The sequence below is a fragment of the Homo sapiens genome, chromosome 2, assembly GCF_000001405.40.
Source record: "Homo sapiens chromosome 2, GRCh38.p14 Primary Assembly".
NCBI classification, from domain to species: domain Eukaryota; kingdom Metazoa; phylum Chordata; class Mammalia; order Primates; family Hominidae; genus Homo; species Homo sapiens.
The window spans coordinates 199,307,682-199,329,968 of NC_000002.12; the positions used below are offsets into that span (position 1 = coordinate 199,307,682).

General features: G+C 38.7%; 1 protein-coding gene across 5 annotated transcripts in view; it reads right to left on the reverse strand.

Moving 5' to 3' along the window:
- SATB2 (SATB homeobox 2) overlaps positions 1 to 22,287 on the reverse strand; it is a 201,767-nt gene that overhangs the window by 38,182 nt on the left and 141,298 nt on the right. For all 5 annotated transcript variants that reach the window (NM_001172517.1, XM_005246396.4, XM_047443775.1 and 2 more), the window contains 3 exons: positions 21,017 to 21,229; positions 16,122 to 16,277; positions 1,079 to 1,276 (listed from right to left, as the gene is read on the reverse strand). In NM_001172517.1, coding sequence (NP_001165988.1) covers positions 1,079 to 1,276; positions 16,122 to 16,277; positions 21,017 to 21,229 — 567 coding nt within the window. The remainder of the gene's footprint in view (positions 1 to 1,078; positions 1,277 to 16,121; positions 16,278 to 21,016; positions 21,230 to 22,287) is intronic.

The window sequence follows — 22,287 nt, forward strand, 5'->3', positions numbered from 1 at the left end:
TGATATTTAGATGAAAAGTGACATAAAGATGTGTTAACTTCTGGCTTCTCTCCCAAACATGTGAGGGGGGAGGGAAGGGAAAGGAGACAGAAACCTCAGGTTGGGGTGTTTCACTGCATCCCTCACCACTCCTCTCTATTTTTATCAAGAAACTGTGCCTCACTCTCCCTTTATATTCTCCTCTTCCATTCTGCACACACATGTGCACATATGCACTCCTGCCTCAACTTTCTTTTTCTTACTCCAGGAGATTCAGAGACAGGCCAAAGGGTCCTCTTTGGTGGCAGCTGAAATTGAGAGTATTGGGCAGCAGGCCCATCTTATAACCTACCAAAACAATTTGTGGGCCAAACTCTAGGGGGTCTAACGTTGGAAACCTCAACTAATATTTCTTCTTAAAAGCAATTAATTTTAGACTATGGAAAGTGTCAGTAGTTAAACTCAATTACTATGGCAAAGCAATATTATTTCTCTCAATGAGAGCAAAAACTAAGCCAACAAAACACGCAATCCAAAGGAAGGCAGATTTCTAAATGAGATGTAACCAAAGACAGCAAAAACTCATCTTAAAATTCTAAGAATCTGTCACAATCTGTCTCTCAAGGTTCAGCTGAGTTCAATGGTATTCCCTAGGTCATGTGGCTATTTCTTTTCCTCAGTCTAATCAAACATTCTTTGAGGGATTTTGGATGCAAAACTACTTCACAGGTTTTTTATAGAAAATGAACTGATGGAAACCATGTTTTCCGATCGAGAGATTTAATTCTCCGTGAGCGCTCTGGCTTTACAATCCCACAAGTAAAATGATCTCAGGAAAGCAGCTGTCTTTGGCATTCAACTTCTCAGTCATTTTTCTTTGTGTGTGCATACACACACACACACGCACGCACATGCACACACACACACATACACATACACACAGTACCCACTGTGACGACAGCGTCTTCTGTACTTGGGGACCTGGCATGAGACACCCTCTGACAGAAGTTGGTGTGGTGTGTGCCACTTGGACCCTCAGCAGCTACTGCTGGCACACAGAGCCCTGATCAGGTGGGGTACGGCGGTCGGGGACACTGACCTGCACCGGCTCAGGGGGAAGCTGGACCACGTGTTGCATGCGTTCGCTGTGGTGATGCCTTGACTCCTCCTCATAGATGACATCCCTCTCATGCTGGGGAAGGTTCAGGAAGCGACGGATGGTACAGAGGTTTTCCCAGAGGGTGCGGTTTTCTGGGCTTGGGTTCTCCTTCCAGCGGAGCAGTTCACACAGCCAGCCCTGTAGAGAGAGGAGGTCGCTTGCATTAACCTGCAGAGTGTAGAGGAGCTGAGGGGGCCTTGACTGCGGTCCAGTGCCATCACAGTACATCTTTTTCTGTCAAAATTGTTCCTGCCAACGTGGGGAGATAGTGAAACAGTCTGACTCTAAAAACCAACCCCTGACCACATAGGTGGTTATACCAATGCCCAAGAATCTTTCCTCTTGTTAGATATCGTATCACCCTGCCTATAGAATATATTCTCAATTGCAGTTTCTCTGTAAAAGATTAGCAAGATTATAGTCATCTGTTCTCAGAAAAAGTAATTTGTGTCAGTCAGCTACAATTTTTTAAAATTACCCAACTGGGCAGCATTTCATGCTAAGAGTGAAGATAAACAAATATGCATAACAGGACAGCAAATTCTAAAAAAGAAAAATTGTCTAGGTGTAAACAACACTGAATTCTCTAGGGAGGAAATATTCTTAAAATTATCAATAACTCCACAAAATAGAAGCAACAACCTTGGCTAGAATGAAAAGAAATGTATATTTGCTCAATCTCTGAATACCTCGGGCTCTAGGCCCTCTTAACCATCACCTTCCCGCAACAGCCACACCTGCAGGAAGGTAGGCAGTTGGTCAGGTCACACCTGCAAATGTCTGCTTCCAAAATCTGGCATCCGGATGTTCTCTCTCTTGCAACTGCATGAGAAAGAAAATGTAATGCAAATAATGATGGATTATATGAAAATAATACAGAGGATGCTGTCAACATCGCTCACTGACTCATGTCAAAATATTTTACCAGTAGCTTTCTAACCCATCATTTCTAAGCTACATCACTAATTTTAAAAACAAGAACTGTCCCACATCATGTCTCTTGCAAAAGAGTAAAAAAATGTTCTTAAGAGGTGCATAAACACGAATGACTTTGTGAAAAATAATTCCCAAACCTCAACAAATTCTATATCATCACTTGTAAGCCAATGAAAGTTCCTGACACGCATTATAAAAACCCCATATAATATCATAAGCCATTGTTTGTCTAACTCTCCACTGTGTCTTCTGCCTTTACCCCAAAAAAGGCAAGATTTGATTATCTCTGCTGCATCAGCCAAGACAGCAACACCAGCTGTTCTCATTGTGCAGCCTCTTCCTCGCGGCCTCCATGTTAATAACCTGATCATTCCATTTTCTCCTTCAACTGCCGGCTGCAGCACCGCGAAGAGACAAAAACCCAGGCCCATCTGCAGCAGCTGTAGGCACTGAACTGTGAAGCCACCAGGGATTTATAAACTAATCTGTAACACAACACTGCCTTGTTTTTACAAGTGAGAGGCCACATTTGCGCAGACCTGATCTTTTCTTGCAATAAACTGGAAGCTTGGGAGAGTTAGAAGGTTAGGAAGAATGAAAACAAGGTATCTTATCATTTGCTTGGAAATCTTTTTCCAAGTATTTTCATAGATTTTTTTTCAACTCAATTGAAAGGCAGGTCATGGTTGATTTTCAAGGTGCAATGTATATAAAAAATGAAGACAATTTTTTTTATCCATACCAGAAAATAAATTATAGTTTTAAAAATCTAGTCCCCAAGTGTTTCCTCAAGGGTTTCTTTGCATAAAGTAAAAGAATTCTTGAAATGGAAAATAAACCATCTGTGGAAAAATAAGCTCCTACTTCTCTATCTTTTCATAGATCTGAATAAGTCTCCAACTGAATTCTTTCAAATGTTTCAAACAGGTATGTTTAACATCTCCCAGGGGAGGCAAGAGCATGGAGACTAACCATTTAATGGAAAATACAAACAAAAACCTGCATCTGTTAAAAGAAGAAGATCTGAGATACCCAGACCTTAAGGAAGACAGCACCTGCTGTTCTGCTTGAGGACTGAACTGCATTGTGGGAAGCCGCAGCTTGAAAGAAGACAGGTGACAGCTGAGTGGTATCTCCACTTATGACACTGGGAATGTCTCGCACAACATTCATTGCCGCATTTGATTTATATGCGCTGTTATAATCTGCACTCATTACAATCACTTAGAACAACACTACAGGCCTCATTATGGACTGTGTGCTGTCTGCCATCAGTCTTTAAGAAGTGTAGTGCTCAATTTGCCCACTGACATGCAAGGTCTTGACCTTGAAGCTATTAGGGAGCAGATTAGACACAAGTGTGATCATGTGTGCAGACATAAGCAAACCAAATTAATTTCTGGCACAGGGAGGTAGCCAACAAGACCCTGTTCTTAAGGCACCAGAGAACTTCCTCAAATCCCTGATGGAGCTGAGCTAATAGCATGTTTAAGGGAACCCGGTTTTGAAGATGAAGCACATTCATGGTATTTAGAGGGTTATTAATCTAGTTTCCCCACAAAGTGTTTGCTTGGCTGATCAGATTAAGGGATGGAGCCTTCAACAGCGCACCCCCACCACAGCAGGCCCCAAGAAATCTGTGATACTTCACAGCCTTGGACATATTGCACCATGTGTACCCAGCTGCCTCAGTAATTAGCTTATGAATGTATCAGCTGGTTCTGTGATTTTTATAAATAATAACCTACAGAGCAGAAAGATTGTCAAGAGCCTTATAGTAGCACAAAATCGGAAGGTGATCCTAACTCTACCTTGCTCTTCTCCTAAAGGCCGTTATTCCCTCCTACGGGCGCTCCTGTGATGCCATATATAGGTATTTATTTTGTATCTGAACTGGTAATGTATTTTTGTGTTAGTTTTCCTCATGGCAGCCATGATTTACCTTCCCCTCACTCTGGCTCGCTTGCTCATTCCATGTATTTGTAAGCCTATCTTCAGGAAATCTATTCTTCCACCTCACTTCCCATCTCATGCACCATCATTTTATTCATATCATCTTTTCACCAGCCCATTTGGGATGCTTATCTCTGTTTTCTCAATACGGTCTCTTATTAGCTTGTTTGCTGGCTAATGAATGTGTGAGAAAGTGCCACGCAGTTGCATGAACACACATGTATGTAATTGTGAGTGACCCCATCACAGAAGAGATAAAGGGTCCCCATATTGGGATTTTTTTTCATTTATATAATCTTTGCATGCCATCCAAGAAAGTTTTGCAGTATCAGGCAAAAAAAAAAAAGTGTAAATGTCAAATAAAACAGTGACAGATGACAGTATTCTCTATTGAATAGCACTGTTTCTGTCGTGCATGTTCAATGGGAACTCATGAATTATTAATAAACAAATCTCCTTTTTCTGTTAAAAATCTCAAGTAGGTTTTTGTTGTTTTCTCTGTGTTATGTGGAGCATTCCATGAGAATTATTTTCATTTCAGAAATGCTGATACAGAAGTTCATCTGGTTTCCAGCCTTGGACAGCTCTGTGAGTGGGCACCATGAACTGTGGAGTATATGCTTCCCTGGGATTTCTCTCTTAGCCTGGTTTTAAGTTTTGACCAAAGGTTGGCTGTATATTCCTAGAGTCCATTTAGCTTTTACAGTCTGGTAAAACTAGGACTGAGTGAATTATAACTGTTTGAGCATAGCTAGGAATGTAGAAGGTATCAAACCTGGATCTCTAAGACCTAACTGCTAAGTTCCTGGTCTGTCATTAAATAACGGGGTGACCTTTGGGCAAATAGTTACACTGTTCAAGCTCCTGGGTGCTTAACTGTAAAAGGACGGGTTAACAAAAGATGGTCTCTAAGTTCCTCTTTGGTTCTACATTCCATGATCTGTTACCTTGTTATCTGTCAGAAAAAGCAGATAGTGATAAACCATCAGGGTTAAAGGCACAAATAAAAAATAACCTTGACAAAGTGGTCAAGGTCAAATAACTAGTGATGATATACTGACACCACGAATGCTCTGATATAATGTACTGCAAAGGTTACAACATCATGTCTGAGGTAGTCTTGCCCAAAATGCATAACCTCAGTCGAAACATGAGAAAATATCAAACAAACCCAAACTGAGAAGTGTTCAACAAAATAACCAAAAATGGCAAGGTAATAGAAGAAAAGAAAAGACTTAAGAACCGTCACAGACTGCAGAAGACTAAGGAGAATAATAATAACTAAATGCAATGTGGTTGCCGGCTACGATCCTGTCCCAGAAAATAGACATTAGTAGAAAAACAGGTGAAATTAGAATAAGGTTTTTGTTTAGTTAACAGTATAGAAACAATGTCACTTTCCTGGTTTTGATAATTGCCCTATCATCAATAATTGCCATATGGTGATATAAGGTGTCAACATTAGGGGAAGATAGGGGAGGGATATATAATACAGTGCAATGATCCCTTCCATACTAGTTTGGCAACATTTTTGTGAGTCTAAAATTAGTTCAAAATAAAAAGTTTTTTTTAGATACAGGAAATTCCTGGAACTTATAGAGAAAAATATACATGGAGCCTAAGTGTAATAATACCAACAGGTTCGCAATTAAAACTTTACCTTCAAAATCTGAATCCAGAGAAGGAATCTATTAATAAGTTCAAAGACTGCTTCCTTGCAATCAATGGTTAAAAGTTCCCAAGCATTAGGGTGCATAAGCAAATAATATTTATTCACATCTCATTTTAGCCATCTCATCAGCCTCTTAAACAAATATATTTCCCTCAGTAGAAAAAACAACTCTGACTGCCCTTCCAACTATGCAGGTGAGATGACACTCCTACCAGTCAAGATATAGTTTGTTTACAATCCAAGTGTTCCTGAAAAGTTGCATATCAATTTACATTTACAAAGCAAATCACATTGTAAATGTATTAGACATGCTTACTATTTGAAGAAATGTGCCATTAATTCTTTCTGGAAGATGAATAAAAAATTCCTAGTTTATCTTTTATTAAGTTGATAGTTTCATTAATGAGTTGCATAAAGGAGAGAACCTCTAGTTCACAATTTAAGAACATTACTAGAGGCAACAATAAAAAAACACCATTTGCCTCCATTTTTCTTTCATGACCTTGTCTCCCACCAGTTCCCCTACTGACCTTGTGCTCCAGCCACTGTGAATTACTCACAGGTACACTCTCACCTTCATGCTTCTGCCATGTTACTCTCTTAGATGGAATGTCTCATACTCAACTTCTTTTCCCCATGAGAAGCTGTACTTCAAGGCTCAGCTGATGTGGTCTCATTTGTTTCTCACTCTTGCATAACCCTGAAGCATTTTGTTTATACTTTTTCACAACTTGATCATTATTATTTTTAGGGGTGGGTATGTCTGCATTCCCATCAGAACAGTTAGCTTCTTGATGGGAGTGGAGGGCAAGGGTTTGTTTCTTACTCATTTTACCATTTTCAGAGCAGAGTATGGTTTCTTGCACATAGTAGCTTCTCAATAAATAGTCATTAGATTGAACCAAAATTATTAGAGTACACAGAAATTAGCCTAGAGGAATGTTTTATGGACTCAAATTCAGAAAGTTATTGTTTGAGAGAAGCACCAATTCTCAGAAGCAACTTTGTCACTGTTCTAAGGTTTGTTTCCCTATCTCTAATGCATGAATACGATAGGGAAAATGGTCCATTATATAAATTGCAAATAGTAATAGTAGTCTCTCAGGACATTGATTCTGTTAACAATTTTCTGTTGAGCACCCATCTCCTGCATGCCATGCAATGAATGGGCTAGTACATTACATATATTATCTAATTGTCATTGTTACTTTTTACTTGAAAGGTTAATTGAGACTGCCAACAAGAAAGTGAGTAATTCTGACCATGAAGCAGTTCAGGAAAAGTGTCATCATTGAGATTATGGCATGCAAGGTGAATCTTGGAAGATAAAGATAGATTTCACCAGGTGGGGAGAGGACTGAAAGTCTAGAAATGAAGGTAGGGCTCAGATTATAAAGAATGTCATGCAAAAAAACAATTTTTATCTTAATCTTATGGGCCCTAGGAGTCTTTGAGGGCTTTTTAACTGACATGATGAAGAATTAACTCGTCTTTCTTTTCATCTCTTTCCCCCACCTTCTTCCTTTTTAAGAAGAAGTTGTTGGGGAAAAGGCTATCATAAAGTCAAGAGCATGACTTATCCTAGACTAGATATCTTTTTTCATAGTGAACTTGTGTGGCTTGGTATTAACTGGGACCCACAATGGCCTGGTACTGGTAAAGTGCACACTTCATAAGTTCTACCCTCTAGGAGTGTTCATTCTAAAAAGACATGACATATATCATAAAGAACCACACTACATCAATCATTTAAATAATCTGTTATCATTTTAACCACTTTCTTTTCTCTCTCTGTGTGTATATATGCATGTATTTCTGTCGTTGCTGTTGTTAATATTAGAGTTTTTAAAGCTCTCTTCAATTGAAAATGAATGAGGTATGGCAATATCTATTTCACTTATAAAATATTTTAAAAGATTAAAATATTTCAAGTCCACAATAAATGAGTGACATATCCTCCAAACCACATACCAAAGGCTGAGAATGTTCAAATGACCAGGGAGGCCTTTCACAAAACAATAATATGGCCCAGTGTTCAAGCTTGGAGCCTAACAGATAAGAGTTTGAATCTTGGCTGTAAATCTTACATGTTAAGTGATAAGGAGGGGAGGGGCACACCACAGATGAAAAGAGTGGGGTTCCTGTCCATGGTACTGAAATGCCACTGCATACAAAGTGGCTTGCTTTCTCTTCCCCAGGACACTTGGTTTTGACCCCAACTTCTCACAGCCCCCATGTTTTTTCCTTAAAAAACATTGGTCTAGGTTTATGACTAATTTTCCAGTTTTTACAATATTTCAGAACAAATACAAACTAGAACTTGCTCAGCACTAAACACAAGTTCATAGCCTGCTCTGATCTCCCACAAGAGTTAATAACTTTACCCCTGTTGAATAAAGCTGTATATGCTCCTTGAAGGCAGGGCCTTGTCACAGTGATTATTCCCCTTGATATGACTAACACAAAGCTAATGAGTTACTTCACCTACTAATTAGTAAGTAGCCCCCACTCCCTTTGCCCCTCTAGGAACTCTAATGAATGAATATCTCAGCAAATGAACAGTTCTTCAGGAGAATGACTCATAGATTCTTGCAGCAGAAATGCAAAAGGCCATTTACTCACCCACATCTTCAATACAGAAAATGTCAGCATATGTAACCAAAGGGAAATGTTTTCTGAGTATCTCAAAAGGAAACTCATATTATTAACCACAGACAGTTCGCTTTCTAAATGGAAGCACATAAAGTCCCCAAACAAACTTTTGTAACTGTGAAAGGATTTCTCTTCAGATGGTTGAGACTCTTCTGAAGTGTGAAATGAGCCAGATAATATTCAGCTCTTGTTTCTTCGTCACCGAATTCTCTTTTCATGAATCCAATAAGTGTCTATTAAAATAAATAAACCCCCTAATGACTCAAGATAACCTAATCAAGAAAACTGAAATGGATAAAAGCCTAACTACAAGGAAGGCTTGTCAAGGGCTTCAATGAATCCCTGACAAGGAGATTATCTAAACCTGAAAAAAGATTTGTGCTGGCTATTTGGTTAAAGTTCAAGGTTAATTATTTTATACTTTAAATGTGGTAAGTACAGAAGATCTGCTTCTTTACTTTTCAAAATTGTATACTAAATTCTAAACTGTATTTTTACAGGGACCAATTTTTAGCTATGTCTGGGTTATCTTATGCATGTCACTGACATTTCTATGGATATGTCTGTAAAGATTGAGTCTGTAATTGAGAGTAATGAAAATTTTATTTCAGAACAGCCCTTTAAACCTCTGCTGGGCTCAAGTCAAGAGGGGATTACACAAAATTTTGTTGCCCTCCTTAGCATACACGGAATATGCATAGCTATTTAACAGTATGGAGATTTGGTACACCTTTACACATATAAATACGTACAAACACACATACATGCATACATGGGTACATGCACCTTAAAAAGCCATTTGTGTTTGTCAAAAAAGAAGAATGAATCTAGAATCCTGGACTTCTTCACTTCAACGGCAGAAAGATATTAACAGCAAAATGCACTAGGCTAAAATATCAAACTGAAAACAATCAAAATGCTTCCAGCACCTCCCTTCAGGTCCAAATGCCAGCATACCTGTGACGTATCACTGTATATTGCAAACTTCCTCAAGAAGTTATCATAATGGGTGGGTGGCAGGGGTGGGGCGGTATGGGCAGGGTAGTGGTTGGGGAAACCAGACAGGGCAGACAACCAGGAGTAAAACTTTTTTTAAAGATCAGGGTGGGACTAGAATGAGGTGAACAAGCAACTAGGGCATGAAATGTAAACAGAATGGCTTGACAAGTGTGTGCTTTCTTACATCTTGCACCCCAGGCAGCTAGCTTGCCTTACCCTAGGTCTTGGCCCTGTGAAAAGAAGATTAAATAGTCTCAACAGCAAAGTGGTAGCAACCATTCATAGATACCAACATTCTCCCACTGTAAGAACCACAGTTTAACTCGATGTCCTCTTCCCTAACCAGCTGGGGAGAAATCAGAGAGGAAGCTTTAATATGGCAACCTAATTTACTTCAAAGACACATGCAAGTTTCCAAAGTTACCAAGTCAGGAACAGGCAAAATAATGAACTCAAAGGTTTCTGCAGAGGATAAAATGAACTTAAAATGAGTTTAAAACTAGTGATAAGTTAAAAGTATTTGACATTTTAAGAACTGCATATGTAGTCTGATTAATCTTCATTATCATCATTATTATTGATTGTCTAAGGACTCCTATAAAGACTAATTTTAAGGCATGAAACATTAACATAATTAATTGTGAGGGTGGTAAAAAGAACCCAATTCTTGATCATGAGGTTGATATTAAAACAGATCTTATGGGAATGTCTGAGGAGATTCCTTCACTAGAATCTGATTTCTTGAGATTATACCAAGAGAAAAAAGAGGGGAGACTGGAGGGCTCAACTTGACGCTCGCGCATCATATCACTATGTTCACACCACTTAGTTTGGCATTTGGGAATCTGAGAAATTTCTTCACTAGGCATATAATATTTTTCAAATGGTATTTTTAGCGTACATATATTAAACTTTTTTGAATTTGAATTTGGAACACCACCCCTAAATTTTAGTATATTTCGCCCAGTTGACAAGAGTGGAAACTGGTCCATGATAGGCTCTCAGAATGATTGTGTTCTGAAGAAAGCTACCTGGCAGCTACTCAGTCAAGGCTGTACACCTCATTTTTTCCTACCTTACATGTTGAATATAAATGGCAAAAGCAAAATCATTAGCAGTGAGGCAGACCACCAACTCACTTTTACACAGGGTATCTTATGGCCTATAGTTTCTGTTAGTCTTTATACCAGAGAGCTCAGGTCAGCAACATGTCTACTTCCAGGGCCCTAAGTTATCCCAGCCCCAGTAAAGGCATCCTCAAAATGGAAACTTAATAATATAAGATCAACATTAAAGCACTTTTTGTGCAAAATGGCAAAACTTTGATCTTTGTGCAACATTTTTTAAAGGCTAGGAAACTAAGTAATGAGACAAGATAATTTTTTATATTTTGTAAATTTACTCTCCTACATAAAAAAGTTGTCCTAAAAAATTATAGTTTTAACTTGTCTCATAATTATGTGTTACACAGTTACGATATCAATTAGGACATAAACATACACATATACTCCCATGCAAACATATACACATTGAAAGAAAAGATTCTAAAATATTAATACTAACTATGTCTGGGTCATGAAATCATGGGTGATCCATGTTTTCACTTTCATATTCTTCGTCACTTTCTGAATTTTTTAAAATGAGGCTGTTAAATTACTTACGTAATCACAAAATATAAATTATTTCTTTAAAAAATGTATAAATATGTACCTGAGACATTTTAAGAAGAGATGCAAAAACAAAAATTAATTACTCTCTTTCCTTTATTTTTCTTTTATATAAAAAGAATCTTCCACAGAGACCTAGATGTTTTAAATTATTTAGCCTGTCAAGCAAATTAGACCACCTATAAGGAGAGATTTTAAGAAAAAAGCAATGTTCATAAAATCTGAGCTTGTAAACTACATCTAAAACATAAGTACACTCTCACTTAGGAATACAATTTGTTAAGTAGTTGAGAACTTGAAACTTTTTTTTTTTTTTTGTAGAAACATAGTGCTAAGGCATAAAGGTCAGTACACAAAATCCACTTAATCCTAATGTACATGAAGCATAGAACATACTGAAACCCAATCACCATGTAGGTCATAGTTTCTATGGGGAAAATGATTTTAGAATTGTGTATTACAAGCCAGAAATCCATCTCTTTTAGCTACAATGGGATCACAATTATGCCTCCCATTCTAAAGTGTGTAGTAGGAAGAAAAACTCTCTCATTCCTGACTTTAGTGGCAGTTCCTGCAGCCAGTGGGCCTGCAAGGGCATAGGTAGCATGGAGGATTGGCAGAGGTCTTTAAACCTTTGTAAAGATGAGGACATCTTACTAATATCATCTCACCAGAGACCCCCCTGGTTCCCTGTTGGTTCCAAAATCACCCTTTTTCTTTTATCCCAGCAGGCTCTGGCACTACCCCCTTTCATTATCACCATCTGGGGTTTAAAACCAGGCCGTCTTTTTCCCCTTGTCTGTATGGAACAGAACAGGGTGTATCAGTTTCTCTCCACCTTCCTGATACAAAAAGCAAGTCCACAGCCCTTCGGAAGTTTTTGTTCATTGGTTTATCTTTTTAATGGAGGGAAGGGAAAACAGAGATTAAAAATAAGCCCCTTTCCATTTCTCTCCCTACTCTATTTTTACCCAAACCTAGTAGGAAAAAACAATCACATATGTAGTGTTGAGTCTTCGGGTATACAAATAATAATAATAAATAATAAAGATTAACTCTCCTCTCAAAGAAAAAAAAAAAGTCAGATGATCCTTAGCATTCTATGAGCTAACCTATCGTAGCCCATAAAAGGGAGAAGATAGCAGGATATGAGAAGAAAAAAACAATCAGTGTCTGGGAAATGGGGTAATTGATGTCAAGGGAGAGAAATGTGGCTGAGGATGTTGTCAAAGTACACAACCGTCCCCTGAGAGCCGCAGAAGATGTGCCCACAGGTTACTATGTTTTCTCTCCTCTAGATTTCTACAACCCAGATCACGGGTGATTGGGTAAAATTGGGAAGAAAGGGGGAAAGCGGCCCTACAGAATCTGCAGAAGAGGGCCAGCAAGATTAGCAGAAGCTTTTGAGGAACAAGGCATTCCTGTGGCCACGCAGACAGAATGTGGGGCATTCGCTCCCTGGTGGCCCTTTGTATGTGAGGGTCAGACTGGAGTTACACAGAAAACGCTCCATATGCCTTTACATTATGGCTTCTACTAAGAACCCCTAACTCCTAATTCACAGAGAATTACCACTGTCATTCTATTCCATGATCTGAGTATTCTGCAGACAGAAAAGGAAGGTAATCCTCAGAATTCACACACAGAAAATTATTTTAAAACACTAAACTGGTCCTAAATAGAAAATGAAGGAAAAGTACAAGGCGAAATGTGTATAAACATGTCTTTCCCTCTGGTCTTATCCTTCTTGGACTCCTTTCCCACGAAGAAAGGGGCAAGGGCCTGATAGAAGATACCTAATGGAAGTGGATGATGGACTGGCCTAGCAATCACCAAGGGACTAACTAGAGCTGAGCTGCAGGAGGTGGTCTGGGACCCTACAAATGCATCCTCATGTAACCCATACACTAGGGAAACATATACACACACTTCCCAGTAATGGATTTTCACAATGAACCAGTTTGCCACCCTTTCAACTCCTTTTCTGAACCCCTATCCTTGCATTGTGCCTGGTTCCTACTTAAACACTTACAGCCCTCGAGGACCCTCTTGGACCACCATTCCTACTCTCTCTAAAACTTTCCTCCCTCTTCCTATTCCCCATTCAAGGCTTCCCTAACACACAGGGCAGTGTTAGAAATTATTGTTAACAGCTGATTACAGCAATTAACACCAAGGAGTGTTAATGGAGGGGTCATATAAATTTCAAATGGAAGGAGAAGGTTGCTATGCATATTTGAACTCGGCCTTCAGGGATTCAAGGCAACTCCAGTTCACAAGACTACTTAATTGTTTCCCTAATTTCACCTTCAGGAGAAGGGAAAGCCCTTGCATTTGGCTCTTCAGTCACTGCAAGAACTTAAGATCCCTCCAAAGAAAAATAAAAGGAGGGAAGAAAATGCAAGGGAAGAGAAAAATCTTTGTTCCTCTCCGTCCTCACAATACAATGGAGTGGGTGTGGCCACTCCCCTCTGCAGCTTGAAAAGGTTAAGTCCTATGATTAGTCATGACTAAGAGAGATATATAAGTCTATAAGGTGTATATATATGACTAAGATATATATATCCATAAGGTGTATGTATGTGTATGCATATGTATAGACATATATATACACGTCTATGTATAGACATATATGTATGTACATATGTCTATGTATAGATATATATGTATGTCTATACATAGACATATATATGTCTATATACACACACAGATACACCTTATGGATATATATATATCTCAGTCTCATATATACACCTTATAGATTTATATATGTATACACATACATGTATATATGTGTATATACACATACATGTATATACACACATATACATATATACATATATGTGTATATATATACACACATACACACACATGTACACACAGGTACACACACATAGATACACCTTATGGATAGCCACCAAATATATATGCCATGTACCAAATCATGCAATTGATTTCACTAAATGTACTTTTTATCAAATGAATACTGATACTTATAAAATGGAGTGAATATCTTTTGTTAAATTGCCTTTGAAACTGCCAATTAAATTCATTTTGTTTGGCAGTATCATTTTTAAAAAAAAAACATAATAAACATAGTGCCTGAATTGCCTATCTAGTCAGCTATTTACAATAAGGTTCCCCACTCATAGATGAAAATGAGATCATTGTCCCAGTGAAAAAGGAACAACCTCAAAGCATCTTATCCTCACTTAAGCTCAATCTTACCTTCAGCATATTAATTCCCAGAACTATGTTCTTCTCCAAATTCTACGAAATCAGGGCTACTGATTTCTTCAGGAGACATCAAAAATTTGGAGAGCTAAGCTTCTGCCAGTTGGCAAAAGCAGCTTTCAATCAGCTACCTGAATTATTTTAGGAGGCTGGAGGCATCACTATTTCCAAAAGCCATACTGCTAAATCAACAGGAAGATTACAGGCTTTTGGAATCAAGTTCTCAGACTGTGGTCTTCAGTTTTTCTTGAAAGCTGCTTATAAAAGAAGGACTGTGTGAAACTTTGATATTTACATCAAGTCACAACTAAGGGGCAGGTTTGCAAAATCAATTGTGCAGCTTTTATACTCACTGCACATTTACCACATATGTCCTTTATTACACAGTGGAAAACCATTAAATGCACAGTAGTTTTGCCAAGTGGCATTATGCATTTAACAGCTTTATTCGTTTAACAGCTCCAACTCTCATTATATTTTGCCATGTGGTACATGGGATTTTATGCATTTAACAGTTTAAGAAGGCTCTATGGTATTTTCTTTTCATGTATTTCATACTATGGTTGGACATTATGTCTTAGCAAACTGTATTTCACTGATTTCATTGAAGAGAGAAAGTCAGAGTAATCTGGAAAACTTACTACACTGAAATTGAAAAGGGAAACAAACATTTCAATCCCTTTCCAAGTTCCTTGATATTCTACTCCCCTCCTTTTATCAACATCTAAAAATAACCTATATCAGGTTAAAACTGCAGGTAAAGAAGGCTAACCCTGTACTCTATAATTAATCTAAATATAACATTTAACTACAGTTTGAAGTTTTTCAGTTTTAAAAATTTAATTTTTATTGAAAACCTTCTTGCTTAATAGAAATACAATACTCAGTCACTTCCTTTCTTTATAGCACACAACAGAAGATTTGTTAGGGAGATGATCAACCATTTGATTATTTACATATGTAGGGATGAAAACATTTGTCATATAAGGACACAGAGGAAATCAAGCTCAGAATCAAAGGACTCTCAAAATTATGCTTTAACTAACTTTTATTTCCTCCACTCTGCATTAGGTGTTCGCCCTAGGTATACATAAGTGAGCATGCACCTCAAACCTAGGATTCTAGGTTTGGGCAGAAGTTGTCCCTTTAAATGAAGAATTGAAGCAGATAGTAGATCCCATCAACTGTTGCTGCTTTCAGAAATAAAAAACCTAAGCATCTGTCTGCTCTTTTCCCCAGAGCATTACATTCTCCACAATCCCAGAACTCTGAAAAATTTTACTGGATAAGCTTCTGTGTTTTTCTGTTAAAAGATTTTAGCACTTACTCTGCACTCCCCCCACGTGTGTTTTCTCCTGAAAAAATCAACTGTATTCTGTACATAAAAGAAACACCTGACATCAAAAGGTGTCTCTGGGGCTGGGGAAAAGTGGTTATTATAACAGAGTTGGACATTCCCCTTGTGGGAACAGGAAAGGTGATGAGACTTGGCTAAAACTTGGTCTCAGAAAGGTGCTGTTATATACATTCTAAGTTTTGTTCATACACACACACACACACACACACACACACACACATATATAAAGGGAGAGAAACAAAAGGGTACATTGCAGTGTTTAGAATAAGGAGAGAAATCATTCGAGGCTAATTTTTTTTAATCTTTAAAAGAAAAAAGGTCAAGTTTTGGCTTCATCTCTATTTTGAACTCCAATGGGAATAAAAGCAAACTAGAGTAAAAGGCAGAACATGACAGGTTTCTTGGGGGTTATTACTGTTATTATTATTATAGGAACAGATGTATTTTTATTGGTGGAGGAAGGAGAAGGATCTAATTCCAGCCCTCGATTTTGCTTTTTTAAAAACCACTCACCTGACTTTTATTTGCAGCCACTTTGGCAAACAGGGCTTGAGACACCTTGGCCCTTTTCATCTCCTGTTGGATCTCGTCATAAATGGCAGCTGTGATGTTGATGTTGGCGCCGTCCACCTTAATAGGGAGGTCTGTTGTCGGTGTCGAGGTTTTGGCCTACCAAGAGACCATGAAAATAATAATTTAAAAAGTGCTGCATTCAGCCCAGCCATCTGTGCAGAAATTATCAAAGGATTTCAGTCAGCTGATGCCAAACTGCATTAGCTACAGAGGGACACTTCCTGTCCATTATTCTAATCAGGTTAATTGTGATTGGAAATAATTGCAGTGCATTCCTATAGGACATGCAGAATCCTGTCAACCCTGTTCTCTCACAGCATCCCAGACGAAGGTTCACAGGTAGGATGGCTCTCCTAGACACCAAACTATAAGCAACCATCTAACTACAAAACAAACATGCAGAACACACACACAGTTAACCTTTTCTTTCTAAAAATGGCACACCTTGGAATAAGAGCCAATTCTTCCAGAAAAAAAATAAGTAAATGGGTAGAGGTCTCTAAATAATAAATTATTACTCAATTTAATGCACTCCCAAGTCTCTCTTATTCTTTATTAAAGCTTTACATATGTCATTCGAGTATGTATGGTTTCCCATCATTATCATCATTATGCTACCCAGACAGTCACCTAATTTCACCTAGGAAATCAGTGGAAATGAAACAAAATTTCATTTCATAAAACTAGGCTTCACAATGCCTTTGATGTGCCGTTTTCATTTTCTTAAACTCATATTGCGGTTTTATGTATTCTGCAGTGCTCGTTTTAATTGAATGATTTCCCATCAGCTTCAGAGACAAATGAAGGACAATATAGAAGTCTGTACTTCTTGGGGTTAGGATAACCCTAAAATGTCTGAATCTACTTAATCCAAAAGACGGTCATAACATTTACTTGGTGTGAGCCCTAGAATGCATTGCTGGTGTCTAATAAGAGAGGGCTGAGACATTTTCTTAGAACCTCTGGCAGCAAGATTTCAGGAAAAGACATCCTTGATCCTTGTGCACTACCAGCCGAATTGGCCTAACCTGGGTTTTTTCTCTTTGTCCCCATTCACCCTAGAATCTCAAACCAACAGAGTTATCTCCAAATCACAAGTTTCCCTGTGCGGATGCCCTGAGCTGTTCTCTACTGGATCCAGCAGTATGCAGGTCCAGAGAAAGATGTAACAGGCAGTGTGGACTCTGTGACAAATGGTGTCTAGCGGCAGAACTTAAGGCCCTACGTTTCCATAAAGGCTTTGCTTCCTAACAGTGCTCAGTAACTTCTGCCATTTTTCTTCTACCTCCTTCTCTCATACTATTTTCTAATTACCGCAAAGCAATAATTACTATAATTTATGGCGTGCTTTTTATGGGCCAGGTACTCCAGAAAGCATTTTAACATTTGTTTTCACATTTAATTCTTTTAAGATTCCAATGAGTTAGATATTATTATTTTCATCTTACAGATGAAGAAACTGAAATAAAAGAGGATCTTAACCTAGGACACCCAGCAGCCAGTGAAGGAACCATGATCTGAACGCAAGTCTTTCAGGCTCAAAAACATGGGCTCAGGACACTGCACTACACACTGCCTCCAAAATCTCCAATTTATGCCAGGTGCTGTTGTAAGAATTTTCTTGCTATGTTGGGACTTTCCCATTAAAAATTCAATTATCTGTAATTTTTTAAAATAAACTATTTGTTCTGCTCAAAATTTCTAGTTAACCCACAGTGCTTTCCCTGTTAAGAGAACGTTTTAGCATAGCATGTCTGCCCTTTCTCAATTCAGTTTTCTTAATTTGCCTCACTGACTATCTCATCCTACCTGATTGGTCAAGCCTTCTCTCCAACCATGAGGGCTAAGACGAAACCCCTCAGCCATGTGCCCTTACACAAGTTACTGAATCCATCTAAACCTCAGTTCCCTCATCTGTAAAATGGGCATAATACCATAAAATGGTGACAACTGAATTCATGCAAAATGTTCACAACACCTAATACACAGTAAGCGTTTTAACAAATGATCATTCTTATCTTAGTATTGTTTTGTCATTATTAAGTACACCATGGAATGCTGGCCAGCTGAAGAAATAAAAAGAGACTGGAGGTATAATTTCAAATTTCAAATTTCTTCAATTTGTTTTTCAGCTACTAATAAAGTATAGATGGGGTCTGGAAAATAATCTCCCTGCATCAATGTCAAGCTGCTTGTGTGCACTAAATTGCTGACTCCAACTAAAAGGCTGAGTCAGTGAGTACTCCTCTAATACTTGTTCTCACAATAAAATCTGTACTGTACTACGATCTTTACTGTTGAGATATGACTGTAAAGAATTTTAAGTCAGTAATCATGAAATGTTTTAAAAGACTTTAATAAACTCTCCTTTCTCAATCTTTACCCAAGAGAAAAAGACAATTCTAGAGAATGTACAAATGCAATGCCATGACCGTATTCTCAAAAACATGTTTAAATATTTATTTTCAAAAATATCAAAACTGTGATATTAAATAAGAGATTTCCCTGCTACACCTATCCCTAAAGGGCATCTGTATGAATTTTCTAGATGGCATTCTGGTCAAAATAAGCAAAATACTGACCCTAACTGTGGGGCCTTGTAAGTCAGTCTGGCACTGAAAGCTATTAGGTCTTTGAAAAGGTGCCTACGATATATAATCTTGTTAGGAAAATAGTACAAAAGAGCTGAAAACAAATACACAGACCTGTGTTAATTTCTAACAAGCAGAAGTAACTTTCTAAGAAGAGCTGCCTTGTCAAATGGCCATGAAGTATGCCTGGGCTCTTCTATAATGGTTTAATGGGCTTCAAAAGTGGCAAAAATATTGATGAATTTAGCAGAAGTAAATATTAGTGCACATTAACAACTTGCCCAACTTACTAGCTCAGTATGTATGTCCCCAGATTTTTTTTTAAGTAAACAAAAATGCTTGGTTATACTCATCCAAAGTAAGCAGTCAAGAGACTTATTTTTGGTTCAAACAGTAACTAAAACTCATAATTCACTAAAGACTGAAGTGTAAGTAACACAATTTGGCAGTGCATGATAGAAAGTAATCTTCAATTAAAAGTTTATTGCAGAGTACAAAAATATAAAAAGAGTTAAAATGTGTGAAAAAATGGATATACTTGAAAAAGCTCAAATATTTCTACTAGGATACAATTCTGCTTCTATGCTTAATCAGTTCCTTAGAATTTATCAGAAAACGCAAAACCAAAGCTATAATATCTAAGCAAAACAACCTTTGGTTTTGAACCGCCCATTTTTCAGCTTTGTATAAATGTATATCCATTAGGTCGGGCACGGTGGCTCATGCCTGTAATCCCAGCACTTTGCAAGGCCGAGGTGGGCAGATTACTTGAGGTCAGGAGTTCGAGACCAGCATGGACAACATGGTGAAACCCAACCTCTACTAAAAATACAAAAAATTACCCTGGTGTGGTGGCATGTGCCTGTAATCCCAGCTACTCGGGAGGCCGAGGCAGGAGAATCACTTGAACCTGAGAAGCAGAGGCTGCAGTAAGCCATGATCACACCACTGCACTCCAGCCTGGGCAACAAAGTGAGACTCCTTCTCAAAAACAAACAAAAAAAATTTATACCTGTTAAATACTGGTTTTGAGAATTAGCACTCAGACAGAACCTGCAACTATCATAGCAACAGTGAACGGACTGGCCTTATCATAAATCTATCGAGTAGTAAAAGTTTAGGGGAAATAGGGGATAGGCCAGAAATGAGTGGGCTTGGATGTGAACTAGAAATGACCCCTGACTGCCTTGAGACCTTGACCCTTGAGTTAGGAGCTTTGAAGCACACATTACTAGATGTATACATTTGCATGAGGGCCTAAGAAAAGAATACTTTTCAAGTGTGTGGAGAGGAAGAATGGAAGTCACCAAATTCTGTGGGGAGATCATCCTAGGATGGAAAATAATTAAGGCCTACCTTTCCACCATCATTTTCTAAAGGATCATTGAGTGACATCTCAGTCATTCTGATCTGGACACTGCATATGCATGCTTCCACTGCAAGTGTTCCTCCATTTTGTCTTTTTCAGATTACATAAAACAGAGCTTCAACTACCCTCTGCCCCCTGCCCTCAGCCACCTCTACCCCATCCAGCCCAACCAAATAAACATACAATTTGAGGGAAAGCAGTGTGCTTGCTATGCAAACTCAGCTTCAACACAAATGCCCTAACTCCTAACTGAGCAGCTATGTATAAACATCCTAGAGCCCGCCCCTGTGCCCACTCCTACCTTCCTACCCCTCACCTACCACGTATGGAAGAATGGGACTTCCTAAAGGGACAGAAATATAGTATGGGATCATATATGGTCAGAAGTTCATATCCTCTGACCAACATGTTCAGCGGATTAAGAAATCATAGAATTGGCCATGGACGGTGGCTCACGCCTGTAATCCCAGCACTTTGGGAGACCAAGGCAAGCGGATCACCTGAGGTCAGGAGTTCGAGAAGAGCCTGGCCAACATGGTGAAACCCCATCCCTACAAAAAATACAAAAATTAGCAGGGCATGGTGGTTGGTGCCTCTAATGCCAGCTACTTGGGAGGCTGAGACAGGAGAATTCCTTGAACCCAGGAGGCGGAGGCTGCAGTGAGCCGAGATCATGCTACTGCACTCCAGCCTGTGTGACAAAGCAAGACTCCATCTCAAAAAAATTAAAATAAAATAAAATAAAATAAGAAAAGAAAAAAAGGAAAGAAATCCTTGAATTATGTCTCTCAATGTTTGAGGGAAAACACAGTAACTAGTGAAGGCAAGATGTTTCCAAGACAAAGAGTGAAAAATACGGAAAGCAAGTTTCTCACCTGAGGGGTTCGGGAGGAGCTGGGACTGCTGGAGGCCGAGGAGACCATGCTCACATTGGGATTCATGCTCCGCTCCCTCTCATCCTGGTAGATGCGATCTCGCTCCACTTCTGGCAGATTGAGGAAATTCTGCATGGCCCTCAGGTTTACTAGAAGAGACTGAGAGGCTGTCCGAGGGTCTTCTTCCTTACGCAGAATCTCAGACAACAATCCCTGATTAAATGGGGGAAAAAAACAGACCAAGTCACATTTGCAGGTATATGTGTGTGGTTTCTGTCTTCCACCCCTCTCCTCCTTTGTTTGGTTTAACCAGCTCGCTGTGATGTCAAGAACCTCACACTAATTCCTTAGGGTTCTCCGATATGAAGTCAATGTGCTTGCCTTCCGGGGGATATGCATTATTTTAGGACTGTTCTATTCTGACACTTTATCATCACTGTAATAATCATCAGTGTACAGACATGCCAGCTAGCAAGGTAGGCACTTGGGAAGAATTGTGAAACTGCAATTACCACCAGGTGCCTCCTACAAGTATTTCAGGAACTGTTAGAACTCTCTCTGCTTGAAACTGGGAACACTTGGCAGTCCTGCTTAGCTTTACAAATCTGCCAAGTTTGGTAAATTTAGTTTCGACATTTAAACAGCATGGTAGATTTACATCAATTTAAAAAAAAAACTGGCTGAATTTCTGTATGACCGGCCACTGTTTTCAATAGAGATATTTCTTATGCAAAAAAAAAAAAAAAAAGACGCAAAGCAAATGGCTAAATTGTGTTAACCCTCTGATAATTTCCCAATCTATACACACAATAGTTATCCTTACATATGTACAAAGGGCACCCAAATCTTTCATGAGACGTCTTCATGGGGGAAACCCTAATGTCACCATTAAAGCAATGAAAATGAAGTCACCTCTGGCGAGGGGCTGAGCACACTGTAATAACAGTGTGCACGGAATGCCATGATAGGCCCAGATACTTTCTGAATGTGTGACTCACCCAAATAGAAAGATTTAAATAGGAAGTCAGGGTTTTCATGTGCTCTGACGACAGAGAATTCACAAAGAAAAGGAAAATGCTGCCAAGTCTAGAGAAAAGTAGTATGGACTCCAGAAAAGGGCTGGAGATCTAAGGTGGGACATTGTCGTACTGGGGGTAGGTGCAGGTCTATTTCCATTCTGCACACTTGTTGGATTATCACACAGAGACATCACTTTATATTCCCAGCTAATATATTGCTTCTCAGAGCAGTATAAGAACAGGGTTTAGGAT